General features: G+C 42.9%; 1 protein-coding gene across 7 annotated transcripts in view, besides 1 other annotated feature; it reads left to right on the top strand.

The window, feature by feature from the left end:
* The window catches only part of EVC2 (EvC ciliary complex subunit 2), a 180,538-nt gene that overhangs the window by 56,541 nt on the left and 103,974 nt on the right, over window positions 1-20,023 (top strand). For all 7 annotated transcript variants that reach the window (XM_047449611.1, NM_001166136.2, XM_017007736.2 and 4 more), the window contains one exon: window positions 12,170-12,494. In XM_047449611.1, coding sequence (XP_047305567.1) covers window positions 12,170-12,494 — 325 coding nt within the window. The remainder of the gene's footprint in view (window positions 1-12,169; window positions 12,495-20,023) is intronic.
* Window positions 12,093-13,292: an enhancer, noted in NCBI's record as "BRD4-independent group 4 enhancer chr4:5641443-5642642 (GRCh37/hg19 assembly coordinates)". NCBI's record gives its function as "activates an origin of replication core promoter dependent on BRD2, P300/CBP, MED14 and CDK7 cofactors, and independent of BRD4, by STARR-seq in HCT116 cells {active_cell/tissue: HCT116}" and the evidence as "EXISTENCE:reporter gene assay evidence [ECO:0000049][PMID:35650434]".

The raw sequence follows: 20,023 nt of genomic DNA, 5'->3' as shown, positions 1-20,023 counted from the left end.
TCACAGCCTGCAGGAGGAACCATCCCTGCCAACACCTTGAGTTTGGACTGTTGGCCTCCAGAACTGTGAGGGAATAAATGTTTGTTGTTCTAAGCCATCTAGCTGATGGTACTTGGCTACATAGGAAAGTACCCTAGGAAACAAATACATCTCCCTAAGCCACACCTTCTGAACCAGGACCTGAGAGCAGGCCTGGGGAGCTGCATTTCATATCTTCAAATCATTCTGGTCATTCTGATGCTTAATAGTTTGAGAACTTCTGCAGGACAGCAGAGTACCCCAATGATGCATCCTCTAGTTGGTTCTGAGGTGAGTCACAAGAATCCTCATCTAAGGCTGCAGACCCTCCCTGCCATCTCCCTCACCCTGGGGTTTTTATCCACCAGCAGCTCCAAGCCCTTGCCGGCTGGAGGATGCTCCTGAGGACCTTAACTTCCTGGCACAGCTGCCTACCGTTTGCATGAGCTGACACCTTCGTCTCGGCCTTCTGGTCTCTGAGCTGTGAAGTGACATTTCTGTTGGTTGAAGCCACCCACTTTGTGTTACTTTGTTACAGCAGCCACAGGAAACACATGCAGTTCTCCATCTCAGTGCTGGGCAGCTGACAGTCCCCGGAGGGTGCGTCTGTCCTTAACCGGAAATCCATTTATACAGTGTCACATGTGGTAAACATGGTGTTTACTACAAACAACCGGCTGAATTGTGTTGCCATCCTGACGCAGCCTCTCCTCACCTCCACACTGGTCCCTGCGTGGGACTTCCCTCTCCCTCCTGGAGCTCTCCACCTCTTACCACCTCATCACCAGCACCTGAGTCCCAGCCATTGCTATTTCTTTCTTGGCCTCTGCCACCAACTTCACGTCCATCCCTAACCGTCCAGTCCATTCACACACCAGCCAGAGGCACCTTTTCAGTGAACTCGGTTGGGTCACATGTGCTGAAAAGCCTTCGCCAGCTTCCCCCTGTTCCCTGGTAAAACTCAAATCCCCACCATGGCCTGCAAGGCTCCGTGTCAGATGCCTAAGGCTGTTTAGCCTGGATTGGTGATATTTTGTGATCGCCTGATTATAATCATCAGATATATGCAAGGTTGTCATGGATAAGACAGTGCAACCTGGGACAATGATGGAAATTTTAGGGAGACAAATGTCAGCTAATTATGAAGAAGGCCTTTCTACTTCTCTAAGCTCAGCTATAAGGGGAGTTAGCCTGGAGGGGCAGCTAGCTCCCCATTGTGGTGGGTGCACATAGCAGAGGCTGGGGAATGCCTGGCAGAGAAGATGTTCAGAAAGCCCAGGTGTTGGTTGGAAAGGTGACTTACTTAGCTGACATCCAAGGTTTATTCCATTTCTAAAGCTACCTTTACATTTTCCATGCTACAGTTCTTTCCTATGATTGTCATCTAACCTTCAGGTAGAGCACACTTTGCCTTTCCAAATAAGAGTTTCAAATGTTATTTCTCTATCTACCTACCTATCAGTCATTCATTCATCCACTAATCCATCCATCCATCTACCCACCCACCCATTCACTTGTTCTTCCACCTACCCATGCACCCATACACCTACTCATTCCGCCATCCATCATCCATTTACTCATCTGTCCTTCCACCCATCTTTTTCACCCACCCATTCTTTCATTCATCTATTCATCCATCCTATCTACTCATCCACCTATCTGCCCATCTATCAATTTGCCCATTCACCCATCTGTCCACCTATCATCCATCCATCTGCATATCCATCCACCCACCCATCTATCATCCATACTTCATCTACCCATCCAATCTTCCATCCAGCCAGCTAGCCATCTATCGACCCATCTATTCGCCTACCCGTGCATTCCTCCATTCATACATCCATCATCCATTCATTCATCTATCCCTCCGTCTGTCGTCTATCCATTCATCCATTCTTCCATCTAGCCCTTCACCCATCTGTCCATCTGTCCATTCACCCATGCAGCCATCCACCCATCCATCCACGTGTTTATCATGTTTCCCCTGCATCTTCTTTTCTGTGCTGTAAAAAATGATATCAAGAAAGACATGACAGACATAACAGCAGCAACAACAATGAGAAGTCACATTTTCCAGCATCTGTTCTGTGCCAGAGACTGGGCTAAGTGCTTCGTGTGTGCCGTTTTGAGACAGTAGGACAGATGGTACAGCAAGGACTCTGGAGAAACATGTCATGAGTTCAAATCCCAGTTCTGTCATTTAATAGTTATATGACTTTGAAAAAGGTATTTTAATTTTTCTATGCCTCAGTTTCTTTACCTGTAAGAGAGATGTTAATCACCTACCTTATAGGATTTTTTTGTGATGATTAAATGGCTCTCTCTCTCTCTCTCTCTCTCTCTCTCTCTCTATATATATATATATATATATATATATATATATATGGCGATTAAAACAAAGCCTGATCGTAAGAGGCACTATTGCTAATCCTCTCAGTGACTTTCGTTTGATGTAGGTGATAATATTCTCACATAGCCAACAGGGAAACTAGGCTCAGAGATACGAATAAACCATCTGAGCTCATGTGGTTCCTGAGGGGTAAAGCTGATATTAGAAGCTAAGTTAATGTGACTTCCAAGCCCATGCTTCCAAACATAATGAAATATCACCCAGGAAAAGTTGATTAGGATATGTGTGAAAGAGGGTTAGGAGGGAAGCGCAGGAAGGACAGGGAGGATTTGAGGCAGAGAGAGGTAGTCCTACTTCCCCTTTTTGCCTCTTCCAGGGCTGAGCCTTCTGTCATAGTCTGGCCAGTGGGTGGAGTAGGGAGTGGGCAGTAATATGGAAATCCCAGGAAGGAAGAGTTAGTGGCATCTGTCTGCATCTTTGCCCCCTTTAAGGAGTAGCTCGAGGCCTGGAGAGGGAAGGCCCAATCCCACTTCTAAACATAGAAATCTTTAAGAGCAAAATTGTCAGCGAAGAAAGATGCAAACTGCTGACCTCTTGTACCTTGCAGTCTAGGTTTTACCCAACTAGAAATTTAATGGTTTGTCATAAGTCTTATTGGTGTTTTGCTCATGTAGGTGACTATTTTTACTCTCATTTAACCTCTCATTACAATTTGGACAGCAAATATACTCAGGAGGTATTTTTCTCCCCAAATTTCCATTGTCTATGCCTTCAAATGGATAGTTTATAAACATGATTGATGGTCCCAGAGAGGAATCTTGCAGTATTATCTGTCCATTGGAATTAGCTTCTGATGAGGAAAATTTCAGTTTCACTCGTATTGAATAGGTTTTGGGGGTCTATTGTGCTTACACCTGCTACCTTGAAGATGCCAGATTTATATTGTAAAAAATGGCTGTGGTGATTTCATTTTCCTTCTGAATTAATTATCCACCATGTTGATTAATGAGTCCTCCTTCACTTTCTGGACAACATTTGCTGCATGTGTGTCAAATTCTATCCTAATTTTGTTCTGACACCTTGCTTGCCATTTGGTGAGAACTTGATTAATTTTTATGTGAAATAAGAAGAAAGAAAGAAGAATTAATGTCATCTTCTCTCTTTTTTTATCATTAGTAGCTAATCAAAATATTAATCAGTTTTTGGATAATTTAAGCGGTACTGTTTCCCTTGAAAGATGTTATCATTGGCAAGTTTTAATAGCTTACATTTAGTAAGTGCTTCCTGTGTGCTGGGCGTGGTTCTAAACTCCAGTCACTTCCAAGAGGAATATCACTTGTACAGTTTGCATATGTAGCAAAACTGGCCAGAGAAAATATGTTCATCTTTGAAGCACAGTGACAAGATGACATTTTTGTGACCTCAAAAAAACAAATGTTCCTGGGAAGGCAGTGGGTGAATCCTGCTAACTTTGCCGAGCTGTTGAGGTAGTAAAGATGCCCCAGACTCAGAGCCCAGCATGTGTAACCCAAAATGTCTCTGTCCGCCTCATGGGATTGTTAGGGACTTTCAGGGGAATGGAAAAATACGTGTATTTCATTGTTGTCTGAATAATTAAAAATGGCACAATGCCATAGAGGGCAATGAAAATTTAAGTCTTCACCAGTGGACCTGATCCTGTATGGAAATGAAGAATTCTTAGTATTTGTTTTCCTCTCTTGCAGCCCTTTGGGAAATTAAAGGATGAGAGTTGGCTTCATTAGTGGCATGGTATTTTAATCGACGTAGAGGGACATTTTCTTGTCTTTGTGGCTTTGGAACACCCTGACAGTTTTTATCATCATCTCTTCTGACAGATTATCTATAGTGATTAACATTAAAACTGTTACAATAAAGAGTGCCTCTGGGACTGTCTTCCCAGGCAACTGGGAAGGTGAGCTGTGGGCCCTGACTCTATTCTGCAGCCAATCTTCTGTGAGAGGGAAGAACCAAGAATGAGGAAACTATTATTATTTAGAACCAACAAAATGCCAGACTGTGCTGTGTGCCTTCTGTTTCTTCTCTTCTTTAACTCTGAACAACAACCTATGAGGGTGGTCCTCATTGTGCTGGTGTGGAAACTAAATTCTTTATCCAGGCCCCTTAGCTAGCAGGTGCTTTCACAGCAAACCACCGGTAAAGCACCTGGTACAGCACCTGCCATTTTCCCAACACAAGCAGCCATAACATTTGCTCATGTAACTTAATGAATTAATGAATGATGGATGGAGTGGTCAAGTAAGGTGTGTTAGTTTCCTATTCAGCTGTAACAAATTACCACAATATGAATCTTAGAGTTCTGGAGGTCAAACTCCGATACAGGTCTGACCAGGTAAAAATCAAGATGTCAGCTCTAGATAGATCAGTGGGGTGGCTATCATTTACAATAATCTATTGCACATTTCAGAATAGCTAGAAGGGAAGAATTCTGATGTTTCTAGCATAAAGAAAAGACAAATATTTAAGGTGATGGCTATCCCAATTAACCTGATTAGATCTTTGCACATTAAATGAATGTATTAAATTATCACATGGGCCCAGAAAATGTATACATCTGTTACTTGTCAATTAAAAAAAAAGACGTCAGCTTTAGGGGACGTTCCCTTCCTGGCCTTTTCCGGCTTCTTGAGGCTGCTGCCTACATTCACTGACTTGGGACCCCTTCTTCTATCTCCAAAGCTGGTGTCATCACTCCTATGTCGGCTTCCTTCGCCACAGGGCGTTCTCCAACTCTGACCCCTCTTCTGCCTGTTTTCCTATTTTAAAAGGCCTTGTTCTTGATCTCAATCTTAAGGTCAGCTGATGAGTAGCCTTAATTCCCCTTTGCCATGAAACCTAACGTGTTTGCAGTTCTGGGGATTAGGCTGTGAATGTCTTTGCGGGGGCACTGTCCTCCCTGCCACATAAGGCTTCGTTTAAGATGTGAAATCCATTCTGTCTGTCTCAGAGTAGAGAAGGGATTTTGTTTTCTGAGCTTGTACAACATTGATTGTTTAGTTCATTTGACATTTAGCCATACACACACTGCTTTGAGGCAGCTCTTGTGTTTCTTTCTTGCTTTGTAACCTGCAAAGCGCTCGTTGCATAGACACATGTTCAATAAGCACTTTTTGAGAAAATGAAAGAAGCAAATGAATGAGCTGTTGTTTAAAACTAGGCTAAGTTGTGTCTTAAGGGGACGGAAGCTATTTTAATCTAAGATGGTAAAATTCGAGCATCAAAAAGAATAAAGACCGCAGTTGATCAAAACCTACCAAATATATAAAAATCTTCCATTTCATAGTGACACTATGCAGAGGCAGGGGTCTTCCTAGGTTCAGCTACACATTTGGACTCACAGGACTCTTACAGGGCACACGTGGCCTCATCTACCCAGAAGGCTTGAGGGGCTGCAGCACCGCTTGCTGTGAGGACAGCATTATTCCCCTGTGGGTATCCTCGCCACAGGTCACACAACAGCCTACACCACTGTCTGGGGGGGCATTTTCCTCCCAGGTGACACAGGTCAGGTGCAGGGAGATGCAATCCATATCAAGCAGTTGCAGGAGTCTTTCTGGCTTAAAATATTTCTACCCCACAGGTGGCAATATCTCTTGTAACAACTCACAGACATAGCTTCCAAGGTTCCCGCAAGGTATATGCCCAGTTCCAAGAGTCATTTTCCTCAGGGAGGTACAAAGTATGGCATCCCTGTTAGGTATTTAATTTACTTACCAGTCTTCCCATCCATTTGTAATTTACCAATCTGGCATTATTTTTACCATAAGCCATGTTGCCTGGTAACCTATTTGATGTTCATCCTCTTAGTAGGTTTCTGAGTAAGAGTTAACTAAAGCTCAGATTCTCAGGAAGCTGAGAAAAGTTTTGTAAACCTTTGGCCTCATGCTAAAACATAACGAAACAAGCTGATAAACAAACAAACCCAAACTCATTATTCACCATTGAAGGTTACTATGACACCAACCCTTTAATTAGAAAATTGATAAAATACAAGAGAAATAATTATACATCTCTATGAACTTTATGTCAGAGTAACAGAATTGTTGATGAAAGTTCTTTTTTGAAGAATTTCAGCTTAAAAAATGCAGAAGAAATGATAGACAATGTGCATTTTGAAACCCCTAATGAAATCATGGATCTAGGTAACAGTTGATTGTTTAGTTCATTTGATCCACCTCCCTCGGTCTCCCAAGGAAAAAAAAGCCATTAAAAAGTGGACAAGGGACATGAATAGACACTTTTCATAAGAAGACATACATGTAGCCAACAAACATATGAAAAAAAGATCATTAGGGAAATGCAAATCAAAACCACAATGAGATACCACCTCACACAAGTCAGAATGGCTATTACTAAAAAATCAAAAAATAGACCTGGCACGGTGGCTTATGCCTGTAATCCCAGCACCTTGGGAGACCGAGGGAGGTGGATCACTTGAGGTCAGGAGTTCGAGACCAGCCTGACCAACATGATGAAACCCAGTCTCTACTAGAAATACAAAATTAGCTAGACGTGGTGGCACACGCCTGTAATCCCAGGTACTCAGGAGGCGGAGGCTCAGGAGAATCACTTGAACCCGGGAGGTGGAGGTTGCAGTGAGCCAAGATCACGCCATTGCACTCCATCCAGCCTGGGCAACAAGAGCGAGATTCTGTCTGAAAAAATAAAAAAATAAACAGGTGTTGGTGAGGTTGTGGAGCAAAAAGAATGCTTATACACTGTTGATGGGACTGTAAACTAGTTTAATCATTGTGGAAAACAGTGTGGCAACTTCTCAAAGACCTAAAAACAGAACTACTATTCAACCCAGCAATCCCATTACTGAGTATATACCCAAAGGACTATAAATCATTCTGTCGTAAAGACACATACACATGTATATTTATTGCAGCACTATTCACAATAGCAAAGATATGGAATCCACCTAAATGCTCATCAGTGGTAGACTGGATAAAGCAAATGTGGTACATATACACCATGGAATACTATGCAGCCGTTAAAAAAGAGTGAGATCATGTCTTTTACAGTAACTTGGATGGAGCTGAAGGCTATTATCCTTAGCAAACTAACTCAGTAAGAGAAAACCAAACACCGCGTATTCTCACTTATAAGTGGGAGCTAAATGATGAGAACACATGTACACATGGAGGGGAACAACAGACATTAGGGCCTATCAGAGGGTGGAGAGTGGGAGGAAGGAGAGGATCAGGAAGAATAACTAATGGGTATTAGGCTTAATACCTGCATGACAAAATAATATGCACAACAAACCCCCATGACACAAGTTTACCTGTATAAAAAACCTACACATATACCCCTGAACTTAAAAGTTAAGAAAAAAAAAAAAAAAAGAGGTGGATGTTAAAATCATTAGATGCACGGTTGATGGGAAATATAATGCAGGGATCATGTTGGCACCACTTGAACCTATGGATTCACGCTAGCCTTACCTTATAGTATGGCCGTAAAGGAAGCACACAGTATGAATATAGTACCATTATGGGGGAATCCTCAAAAACTAAAAATAGAACCAACATGTGATCCAGCCATTCCACTACTGGGTATATGTCCAAAAGAAAGGAAATCAATATATCGAAGAGATATCTGCATTCTCATGTTTATCACAGCACTATTTACAGTAGCCAAAATGTGAAATCAACCTAAGTGCCCATCAACAGATGAATAAAGAAAATATGGTATAAATACACAATGGAATGTTTTTCAACCATAAAAAAGATCAAATTCCTATTATTTGAAGCAACATGGATGGACCTAGTGGTCATTATGTCAGGTGAAATAAGCCAGTCACAGAAAGACAAATATGACATGTTCTCACTCATATGTGAGAGCTAAAAAAGTGGACCTTGTGAAGATACAGAATAGAATAGTGGTTACTGGAGCCCAGGTATGGGAAGGGGTAGGTTTAGACGAAGGAAAACAAGAATATAAATAAAAGATATTTATTACCACTGAACTGCACGCTTAAAGAAAAGATGGTGGCCAGACACGGTGGCTCACACCTGTAATCCCAGCACTTTGAGAGGCTGAGGCGGGCAGATCATGAGGTCAAGAGATTGAGACCATCCTGGCCAACATGGTGAAACCCCGTCTCTACTAAAAATGCAAAAATTAGTTGGGCATGGTGGCGGGTGCCTGTAGTCCCAGCTACTCGGGAGGCTGAGGCAGGAGAATCACTTGAACCTGGGAGGCGGAGGTTGCAGTGAGCCGAGATCACACCACTGCACTCTAGCCTGGCAACAGAGTGAAACTCCGTCTAAAAGAATAAATAAATAAAATAAAAGATGGTAAATTATATATGTATATTTTGTCTCAATTTTTAAAGGTCACTCAAAAAAAGAAGGAAAACAAATTGAATGAAGATCTTAGATCTGTTAGTTTACAGGAAATACAGAGGATAGAGAGAGGTACGGTGACACCCATGGAAGCCACTGGCCAAATCCAGAACATGGGACATTCTGCAGGATGGTGGCCTGACTTCCCTAACACATCAATGCTGTAGAAGGAAAGATAGAAGGCCAGAATGTTCTAGAATAAAGGAAACTTAACTGGCATTATGGGATTTTGTTTGGTTCTTGAATTAAATGTTCAATTGTAAAAAGACATTTTGAGACACTTGAGGTAGTCTGAATAATGACAGGTAACTAGACATTTCTAATTATTGGGATTGTTTTAATTTTTTTTTATTTTGAGACAGTCTCGCCCTATTGCCCAGGCTGGAGTGCCGTGGTGCAATCTTGGCCAACTGCAACCTCCGCCTCAGCCACCCGAGTAGCTGGGGTTACAGGCGCCTGCCACCACACCTGGCTAATTTTTGTAGTTTTAGTGGAGATGGCATTTCACCATGTTGGCCAGGCTGGTCTCGAACTCCTGGCCTCAAGTGATCCACCCACCTTGGCCTCCCAAAGTGCTGGGATTACAGGTGTGAGCCACTGCACCCAGCCTGTTTTAAATATTTTATATGTAATAATGACAGTGTAGGTAGTCGCACTCTACCTCTGCCCTCTTAGGGGCCCCAGCTGGGCCCAAGAATTAAATTGACATGAGATAGATTAACAGGAAAACAACATGCAAATTTAATATAAGTTTGACATGACACTGGAGCCCACGTAAGGAAATGAAGACCCAAAGATGCGGTTAGAGGTGAATGGTAATATGCTGAGTTGGACAAAGAACAGCACGTTGTGAAAAAAACAATTACATGGTGAGGCTAAAGAAGGATAAGAATTATTTTAACCAGGTCTATTTTTATAGAATTATCTTGGTCTCAACTTTTCATGCTTGATGATAAGAATGTTGCTTTCCTTCCAGTACAGGGATGCCATCCTTCACGTGGGAATTTCATCCCTCTGCTTTTAAGAAACAGGTTGAAGCTCAGAGTGATCTGATACTTGCTAGTTTGTCTTTTGAGGTGTCTTTAACTGAAAATAGTCAGTATGCCAGAACACCACATTTTGGGGTAGTATATTTTACCACCCTTTAGCAACAAGGTTAAGTAAAGTAGATATGCATGTACATATTCATGTAGACAAGTTAACTCGTTAGATAGACATACACACATCTGTCTGTCTGTTGATCGGTCTGTCTGCGTATGACTCCTTGACAGTTAAAGATGCTCAGTGAGGTGTTCATGGGTAAAATGACAGATCTGATATTTGCTTTAAATTGCTCAAACATTAAAGGCAGTAGAGAAAACAAGATTGGTCAATATTGACAAGTTTTGAACCTGGTTAATGTGGAAGTCATATACTTAAGCCCTTGCAAATTTTATAATAGTTTTCTTAAAACCCTTGTATTTTTACAATCATACACCAAATCAAATTATCAAAGATGTTTGACATGGTGGAGGGTGGGGCTAAATGTGAGGATCCTGGTGTATGGCTGGGGGTCTCTTCTGGAAAGCAGTTTGTCTGGATGTGCCAGGAGACTTAAGGATGTCGCTGACATCTGACCCAGCAGTTCCTCTCATGGGAATCTGTACTGAGGAAATTATTGTGAGTATCTAGAGCTCTGTAAAAAGTGATTCACTTCAGGATTGTTTTAGATTTTGTAATTTGCAAGTAATCCAAATGTGCAACAATAGAAGAATAGTCATTGAATGGTGGTCTATCACATGATAAAATATTTTGCAACCCTTATAAAGAAGCATTTAGTTGTTAAATACCACTGGAAGATACCTATAACCATGTTAATTGGGGAAAAAAAGAGGATAAAATTGTACTTGCATGCATCTGTGTAAATAGTGGACATTTATGAAAAAAATATGCATAGAAAAAAGGCTGGAAGAAAATATGACAAAATGTCTTCATTAATTCTAATTGAATGATGACCTTCTACTATAAAGACGTGCAGCACTATTTACAATAGCAAGGACTTGGAACCAACCCAAATGCCCATCGATGATAGACTGGATAAAGAAAATGTGGCATTGGTACACTATGGAATACTGTGCAGCCATAAAAAATAATGAGTTCATATGCTTTGCAGGGACATGGATGAAGCTGGAAACTCTTAGCAAACTAACACAGGAACAGAAAACCAAACACTGCATGTTCTCACTCATAAGTGGGAGTTGAACAATGAGAACATATGGACACAGGGAGGGGAACATCACACACCAGGGCCTGTCAGGGGGTAAGAGGCAAGGGGAGGAAGAGCATTAAGACAAATAGTTAATGCCTGAGGAGCTTAAAACCTAGATATCGGGTTGATAGGTGCAGCAACCACCATGGCACATGTAAACCTGTGTAACAAACCTGCACGTTCAGCACATGTATCCCAGAACTTAAGGTAAAATAAAAAATAATAATAAAATAACTAAATGCCTTCATTAGTTCTGATTGAATGGTGGATTCACAGTGAATGAATCCTTTTTTTATTTGTCTTTGTTTTCAGATGTATTTTTACCATAACATAAATTAATTTTTTTCTATGTAGCTTTCCTTCGCTTTATAGAGGTATGATTAACATATCATAAAATTCACACAGTTTAAGGGTACAGTCTGATGTGTTACTGGAAGTATATACAGTTTTACAACTACCGCCAGTCAGGTTTCAGAACACCGTGACTCTGCGAACTACCTCGCATTTTCAAGTAGACTTTATTTTTAGAGCAGTTTCGGATTTACAAAAAAATTGAGAAGATAATACAGATAATTCCCATGTATCCTGAACCCAGGTTCCCCTATTATTAACATTTTCTGTTAGTATGTTACATTTGTTAAAATTAACAAATCAACGTTGATACAGTGTGATTATGTATCAGTTGTTATCAAAGTCCATGCTTTATTCAGATTTTCATAGTTTTTAATCTAATGTCCTTTTTTTTGCTCTGGGATTCCGTCCAGGATATGACATTACATGTACTAGTCATGTCCATAAATTGATTTTTAATGGGAAGAAAAGTAAAATAAACTTTATTTTTAAATCCTCCAAATATATTAGCTATCCATTTTTCCCTTGGTTTCCTTGTTGTTGCTGACTTGTTACTTGTTGACAGAAACATGTCTTATATTGATTATATTCTTTTTTGTACATCACATGGTACCTTACAAATTTACTAAGTAAGAGTCAGCTAATGGCCTTCAATAACTGGATGAAGCAGAAGTGAGCGGGGAAAGGAAGAAAAGGAAGACGAAGAAAGCCCTTGCCTACACATAAATGAAAACCTCAGAGCTTTGAAAGACCTTTGGTTTCTGTTGCAATTTCATGTAATGGAATTCTTTTGATTTTTGTGTTTCCTAGGTTGGAGATTGCAACCCTGAATCGGGCAGATGCAGATCTGGAGGCTTGTCGAACACAAATCAGCAAGGATATCATTGCCCTTCTGCTGAAAAATCTCACCAGCAGTGGCCACCTCTCACCCCAAGTAGAGAGAAAAATGAGTGCTGTTTTCAAAAAGCAGTTTCTATTGCTGGAAAATGAAATACAAGAGGAGTACGATCGGAAGATGGTGGCATTGACAGCTGAATGTGACCTGGAAACAAGAAAGAAGATGGAAAACCAGTACCAGAGAGAGATGATGGCAATGGAGGAAGCAGAAGAGTTGCTGAAACGTGCTGGTGAGAGGGTAAGACAGGTCTGAAAGGAAGGCGTTCACTTCCCTTTCTCTCAGGGATTTGTCATTTATCCATCTACCCACTCATCTGTCCATTTGCCTCCTCCATCCGTCTACCCATCATCCATCCAACCACCCACTCATTCATCTATTCATCCTTCCATTCATTCATCCAACCATTCCCACCGTCCATCCATCATCATCTGTCCATCCACCCATCTACCCATTCACCCACTCATCCATCCACCCACTCATCCAATCATCTGTGCACCTATCCATTCATCCACCCACTCATTCACCCATCTGTCCATCTACACATCCATCTGTCTGTTCATCCACCTACTCATTTATCCACCCTCCCATCCATGCCACCCATCACCCATCCAACAATTTACCCATCCACTTATTCCCCATCTAGCCTTCTACCCATCCACTCATCCATTTACCCATTCACCCATGCTTCCCCTCCATCTACCCGTCCACCCATCTGCCCATTATCACTCATCCACCCATCCATCCATCCAGAATTCATTTAGCAAAAATGTGTTGATTACTTACTGTCTCTCAGGCACTGGGCTAGGCAGTGAAGGTATAGGGAACAATGAGACATGGTTCTTCCATTCAAGAAGTTCATAATCTTATAAAAAAATCAGTTCACGTAAAAAATGAGACATTATTCAGTCATGTTATAATAGAGGTATGTTCACAATGCTGTAGAATTCATGGGTAGAGAAGAAAGGCTTCATTCATAGCAGAGCACGTCTGTAGAGGGCATGGTTCACAGAAAGTTGTGATGTCAGAGTCCACGTGTCCCCCTCTGGACTATATAGCCTGTTAGGTTACAGTTCTCTCCAGCACAGGCTCTAGAGTCAGAAAAACCTGAACTCACAGTCTAGTACATTCCATCTCTGCTCCTGAAGGCCTTAATTAGGCACTGCAAGTCTAATGGCAAGCCACCTCTCAGGGTGGGTGGGAGAAGCAATGTAGGAAAAGCAGCTGCCTGGCGCCCATGGGCTGCAGAAGGCTCTCAGCTCACAGTGCTCAGTTGGAGTTCTCATAGGTCAGCCTTGCCAGGGCTGGCCTAGATTGCTCAGAAATCAGCTCTTGTTTTTCCAAAAGTTGTGTCAGTTGCTGCCTTGAAAGAACTAGAGTTTTTCCTGAATATACCAAATCAAACCTGATTTCTGTTTTCCTATGTGAAAGAAATGGCTTATTCATTTCATGTGACCTGAGTCTGCATATCTTCTTCTGAACATCTACTCCCCTAGGGAGGGCTTCCAACTACTTAAGAACAAGCTTCTGAACTCGGCTTCCCTTCCGCAGACTGTGGCCATCTATGGATGCCCCTGGGAGCAAATAAGCAGCTCTCTTGTTAACAACTCGTGACTCACAGATGGTCATCTGTGGTCAGACAGGGGATGAGCAGTAAAGAAAAGGGGCAAGGTCCTCGCTGTCCTGCCTGCACCTGCTCCCTTGCTCCTGGGGCCTCCCTTGCCTTCAGAACCATCTCATTTTAGGTTCTCCTGTCCTAGTTTCCTGTGGCTGCCATAATAAATCACCACAAATTTAGTGGCTTAAAACAACAGAATTTTTTTCTGTTATATAATAGTTCTGGAGGCCAGACGTCCAAAATCTAGTTGTCAGTAGGATCCTTCCATGTTTGGTTCAGCTTCTGGTGGCTCCGGGTGTTCCTGGGGTTGTAACTGCGTCACTTAAATCTTTGCTCTGTCTTCCTGTGGCCTTTTCCCTGGTAACCCTCTCATCTCCTGTCTCTTATAAGGACATTTGTCATTGAATTTAGGTCCCACCTAAATAATCCAGGATGATCTCATAAGATCTTAAATTAATTTCATGTGGAAAGACCCTTATTCTAAATAAGGTCCTGAGGTTAGGATCTAGGCATATCTTTTTTGGGGGGTGGGAGTGTCACCATTCAGTCCACTGCAGCCTCCCTCACCGACACTGCCCTGTAATGCCCAGTCTATGACTGTGCTGCTCAACATCCCACATCCTTGAGCCGAGCCCTTAGGAAGAATGTATTGAATGCACTGTTCGGTGATTCAGCTCCTAAATGATCCCATTATCTCTCTTTTGATTCTTTCCTAAATCTGTTACAATTTTTTTTTTTTTGTTTTTTGAGATAGAGTCTCACTCTGTCACCCAGATCGCAGTGCAGTGGTGCAGTCTTGGCTCACTGCAACCTCCACCTCCTGGGCTCAAGTGATTCTCTTGCCTCAGCCTCCCGAGTAGCTGGGATTACAGGCGCTTGCCACCACGCCCGGCTAATTTTGATATTTTTAGTAGAGACAGGGTTTTGCCATGTTGGCCACACTGATCTCGAACTCCTGACCTCAGGTGATCCGCCCACCTTGGCCTCCCAAAGTGCTGGGATTACAGGCATGAGCCACCACGCATGGCCAATTTTTTTTTACCTTTAAACGTAATACATGCTCAATAAGGGAGGCTTCGACAGTACCTTAAGGCAGTGGTCAGCAAACAAGGACCCATGAGCCCAATCTTACCCAGCTTGTTTTTATGTGGCCTGCAAGTTGAGAATGTTTTTTTACATTTTTAAAGAGTTTTAAAAATCAAATACACAAACAAGAATACATAACAGAGACCTCAGGTGACAAACTCTAAAATATGGCCCCTTACAGAAAGGCTGTCTGATTTCAGAACCAAAGCTGAAAAAGAAAAAGCCCTGAAAAAAAAAAAAAAGAGAGAAGCCCATCCCACAACTCAGTGGCAGAGGATCATTCATTCTGCCCATTGTTGAGTTTCTATTGTATACCTAACCCTGGAGATACAGGGATGGCTCAGGCAGCCTTCACACCTGCCCTCAGTTGCCAGCATACATTTTAGCCTTTTGCTTTATCCATTTATTTTTATAAAGTAAGGATTATGCAGTTTGTATAGTTGTATATATGTCTTATTTTCACTTTACATCACAGTATACACATTTGCTGATTTTATTAAATACTCTTAAAAAATACGATGTGTAACAATAACAGCTCATCCTTCCTTAGCATGCATGGTGTGTCTGGCATTGTTCCAAGCACATCCCATTGACTCTCTTTAGCGTTCACAACAACTCAGTGAGGTAGGGACTGAGAGGATCTCACTTTGACAGGTGAGGAAACTGAGCTGGGGAAGGTTCACCTGCCCGAGGACAGTCAGCCTCATGTCCAGCAGCATGCCCCCAACCACTGCGCACACTGCCCCCTCCTGCAGTGGAGGTTACGTCCCCCTGCTGTGCGCCCCATGTGAACCCGTCCTGTGGGGCACCTAGAATGTTTCTAGTGGCTTTGCTATCAAAAGACTGCCTGGGGCAATGCTTTTTTATGCGGAGAGCATGAGGATAGGATGCTGGGTCGGTGCCCTACTCCCATCTGTCACGCAGTCCCTCTCCTCCTCAGGGCTTCCTGACCCTGCTCTCTCCAGGGCTTTTCTGCAGCCTGTCTCTCCCACCCACACCACCTTGCAAGCCAGCGTGTATTGGGCAGGCACCATCACTCCGGATGTCCTAGGTCACTCTGTTCAAAGACAAGCAGCCGCCTTATTTGAACCAATCTGTTTCCAGAAATAGTATCTGAGCTGCAGCATTTAATAGAACTAGTTTCCTTCCAGTCCATGCAAGTGATTCCATCTCACAAAACCACAGACTGCTTTATAATTATCCATCATGTGTTATAGTCATCTTTAAATAAAATACATAAAAATATTTTGGATGTATTATTCCACCAAGAATTAGTTTTAAAAAAGAAAAGCAAAAGGAGCAGTATCAGCTTTCCTGAGTAAAGTTTAGTACAGTACAGTCATCCCTCCCTTGATACCCAGGAAGCATTGGTTCCAGGACCCTCCCCACCATCCCACCCCCATGGATACCAAAATCCACAAATTCTCAAGTCTCTGTTATAAAATGGTGTCGTATTTGCACATAACCTACACAAATGCTCCTGTATACTTTAAATCACCTCTGTTACTTGTAATACCTAATACAATGTAAATGTTATGTAGTTATAAATAGTTTGTATAAATGCATAAAAAATAGTTTAGGGAATGTTGTTTAGGGAATAACAACAAGAAAAAAATAGTCTGTATGTGTTCAATACACACAGAAATTTTTGACCTGCAGGTGGTTATATTTATGGATGCAGAACCCACAGATACAGAGAGCTGACTGTAATTAATGTAGAGCTGAAATTTGTTCATACTATAATATTTAAATGCGTATATAATGCCTTATAGTTCTCAAAGCATTTCTCCATTGAGAAACCTTGGGGAGAGTATTGGGGGATATAGGCACAGAAGGCAGGTTGCTGGGGTTTATTTCCTCCCTCTTTTCCTCCAGTAGGCACGTTACCCAGTCACCCTGGGTCTCCTTTCCCCATCCTTAAGACAGGGATAATCATGATGCCTGAGGTCTTAGAGGGCTGTTGTGAGTATAAGTAAGTTAATTCTCGTATAGTACTTCAGCCATTGCTCGGCGCTGAGTCAACCTTGGACAAGGGTTTATTATGATTCATAACTGAATGTAATTTTTAAAGATGCCTGTGGTGTAGAACACAGAATGTGAACTCTTTCTACTTGAAGGTGGGCAAACCGAAGCCCGGAGGGGAAGTGACTGGCAATCCAGCTTCCTGCATCCAGTTCAGAGCTGGGTCCTTCCTCTGGGGTTCGTCTTCTATACCCAGGCTCTCCCCGCTGCTTTTCTGCCACTGAAAGAGGAGGCCCAGCAGATGTCTTGCCCTGGGCTGCCTGAGGCTTTCTAACCCCTGTGTGAGTCTTTGTCCTCAGCACAAGAATTCTGACATTTTCACCGTTTCTGATGGATTTGTTTTTATAAAACATTTTCACAATTTGCCTGTCTTTCTGAGTATGGGGAGTATGACAGCACAGTCGTCACTTTCGAGCGTGATTTCACTTTGTGATGCTGTAGAGTCAACATGCACAGCAGCTGCTGCAGCCAGCCTGATGCAGGCCTGTGCTTCTCACACTGGAACTTCTGTATCCTCCCTTAAGGTTTATGCCCCCTACTCCCTCCATGGGACACTCCCTCCAGGGGACACTTGCTTTTCTAGGTGTTGGAAGCCATAGGATGCATGTGCCTTATCTCCCTGAAGTCTTTTTCATTGAGAAGTTCAATAGTGGGTTGGGGGTGAGTAATCATTACTTTCACATTCCTTTATAATGCACATTTGTGGCCAGGTGTGGTAATCCCAACACTTTGGGATGCCGAGACAGGTGGATCACCTGAGGTCAGGTGTTTGAGACCAGCCTGGCCAACATGGTGAAATCCCGCCTCTACTAAAAATACAAAAATTAGCTGGGCATGGTGGTGGACACCTGTAATCCCAGCCGCTTGGGAGGCTGAGCCAGGAGAATCACTTGAACCCAGAGGGCGGAGTTTGCAGTGAACCAAGATAGCAGCACTTCACTCCAGCCTGGGCGAAAGAGTGAGACTCTGTCTCAAAAAAAAAAAAAAAAAAAAAAAAAGCACATTTGTTGACAGTATTTAAAATATAAACTTTTATTTAAGAAAACCCAGATTTCCAGCTAAAGGATGGGAAGACTGAGCTGTGTTGAGTCCGTATTCCTGCAGAGCCCTTTGGTGGACGGGGTGGAGGCTGCCCCTACAGGCAGGGCGTGCTCTTTGCACTTTGCCCCATTCCCCAGTAGTTCCTAGTGCCTGTCACACCAGGCAGCCTCACTCATTTGGAAACATGACCTCCCCTGTTTGGCAGGCCCAGGGGTGTGCCTCCCCTGCTTTAGGGCTTAGTTTTCTCATCTCTGCCATAGGAGGTTGAACTAGGTCAGGGGTGGAACTCACATCTGCAAGGCTCTGAACTCCCTTTTGAAGTGGGCATGGGAGTCCTGTCCACATGTATTTTAGAGAGTGTTTCACTATGGCACAAATACATCATTGCCTCATACTTTATTCTTCGGCAGAGATATGATTCTAAAAAAGGCCCAAATATTTTATTTTAGGATTTGTGTGTGTGTCTGCTTTTTATCTTGCCTGTGAGAAGCTAAATGGAAATTACCCCGTATTTCATTTCTATTAATTAAAATAAATTGAAGTTTGGGACTTGTCAAATTCTATACTGTCAAAAAAAGAAGGTCGCTTTGATGGATGAACCGACATAACTGGGCACCAGCTAGTCATTCGTAGCGGAATGCCCCTGCGGTGCCCAGACTCAGGGTCCTGACACCCTCCTGGTTGTTGGTGAATTGCATCCTTTGATTTAGATCAAGTCAGCTGTGAATACCATTTCTCTGTAATAGAGTGACTCATTATGTCGAATCTAATCCTTTGTTATAAAATCAGCTTTTTAAAAAGACTGAATTGTTATTTGGTGGGCAAGGCAAGCTATTAGTATGGGCAAGGGTCCTGACAGAGTTGCCAAGAGGATGCACATAAAAGCCTTTGACTTGTAGCCTCATGGCCCCTGCTGTCATCCACTAGGCTTTGCTGTGAGCACCTGCAAGGCAGGGGATGCCATGTGTTGGCCCTTGGACCTCTTTAGAAGGCTCTAAATAATGCTTGTCTTTCTGGCCCAGATTCTGAACAAATCAAACAATAAGTAAAAGGGACTGGAGAGACGGAGAAAGCTAGAGATCAGCATGTCACCTTTGAGAGCTTCTGTGAGTTATTGGAAGTGGAGGTGAGCAGGTCTGTGACTTGGGAAATTGGGGAGCAAGTGATGCTATTTACTGAAACCAGAGAATTCTGGTGGGTGATAGAGCATTCCAACCTTGTTTAGCCTGAAGGAGCTCTGGCCTTTGCCCTGTGCACCGGAGCCCCTTCTGCCTTCCTCGGGCTTCTACTCAGCCCAGCCATGGCATGATGCCACACCTGCCTGCTTCCCAAGGCCAGGCCTTTATTGGCCATTTGGGATGGCTGTACCCACGCATCCTGCACGCGTAAGCCTTTCCCTGCCTTCGCTTCACCAACAAGCTCCACTGTCACTGCCTTGAGTGGTTTCAGAGCTTGGAGCCTGAACACTTGCTTTCAACACGCTTCCTCCCCTAGCTGAGCATGGGTGAGAATTTGGGAAAGCTCTTACCTTCTCTAAGCTTGTGTTTCTTCTCTTATAAAACGGAGGGTGTCAGTTTTCTATTCCTGCCTAAGCAACCACACACATTAGTGACATTGTCTCAGTGTCCATGGTCAGGAGTCTGGGCACAGCTTCACTGTGACCTATGCTCAGGATGTTGCAGGCTGGCAATCAGGGTCTTGGCTGAGCTGCATTCTCCTCTGGAGCTTGGGGTCCTGGTCCAAGCTCATTCAAGCTGTTTGCAGAACTCACTTCTTTGTGGGTACAAGACTGAGGCCCTCAGCTCCTAGAAGTTTCCCTTCTGCGGAGACAGTTTACAGCCTGGCTGTTTGGTTCTTCAAAGCCAGCAGGAGAGGGTCTCTCTCTTTAGGAAGGCTCCAATGCTTCTTTTAAGGAGTCAGGCCCACCCAGGAGAGTCTTCCTTTTGATTAATTCAAAGTCAACTGATTAGTGACCTTAATTACATCATCAAGACACCCTCAG

Source organism: Homo sapiens, chromosome 4, assembly GCF_000001405.40.
Source record: "Homo sapiens chromosome 4, GRCh38.p14 Primary Assembly".
NCBI classification, from domain to species: Eukaryota; Metazoa; Chordata; class Mammalia; order Primates; family Hominidae; genus Homo; species Homo sapiens.
Note: the sequence above shows the minus strand (reverse complement) of the source record. Positions and strands in the feature narration are given on the sequence as shown.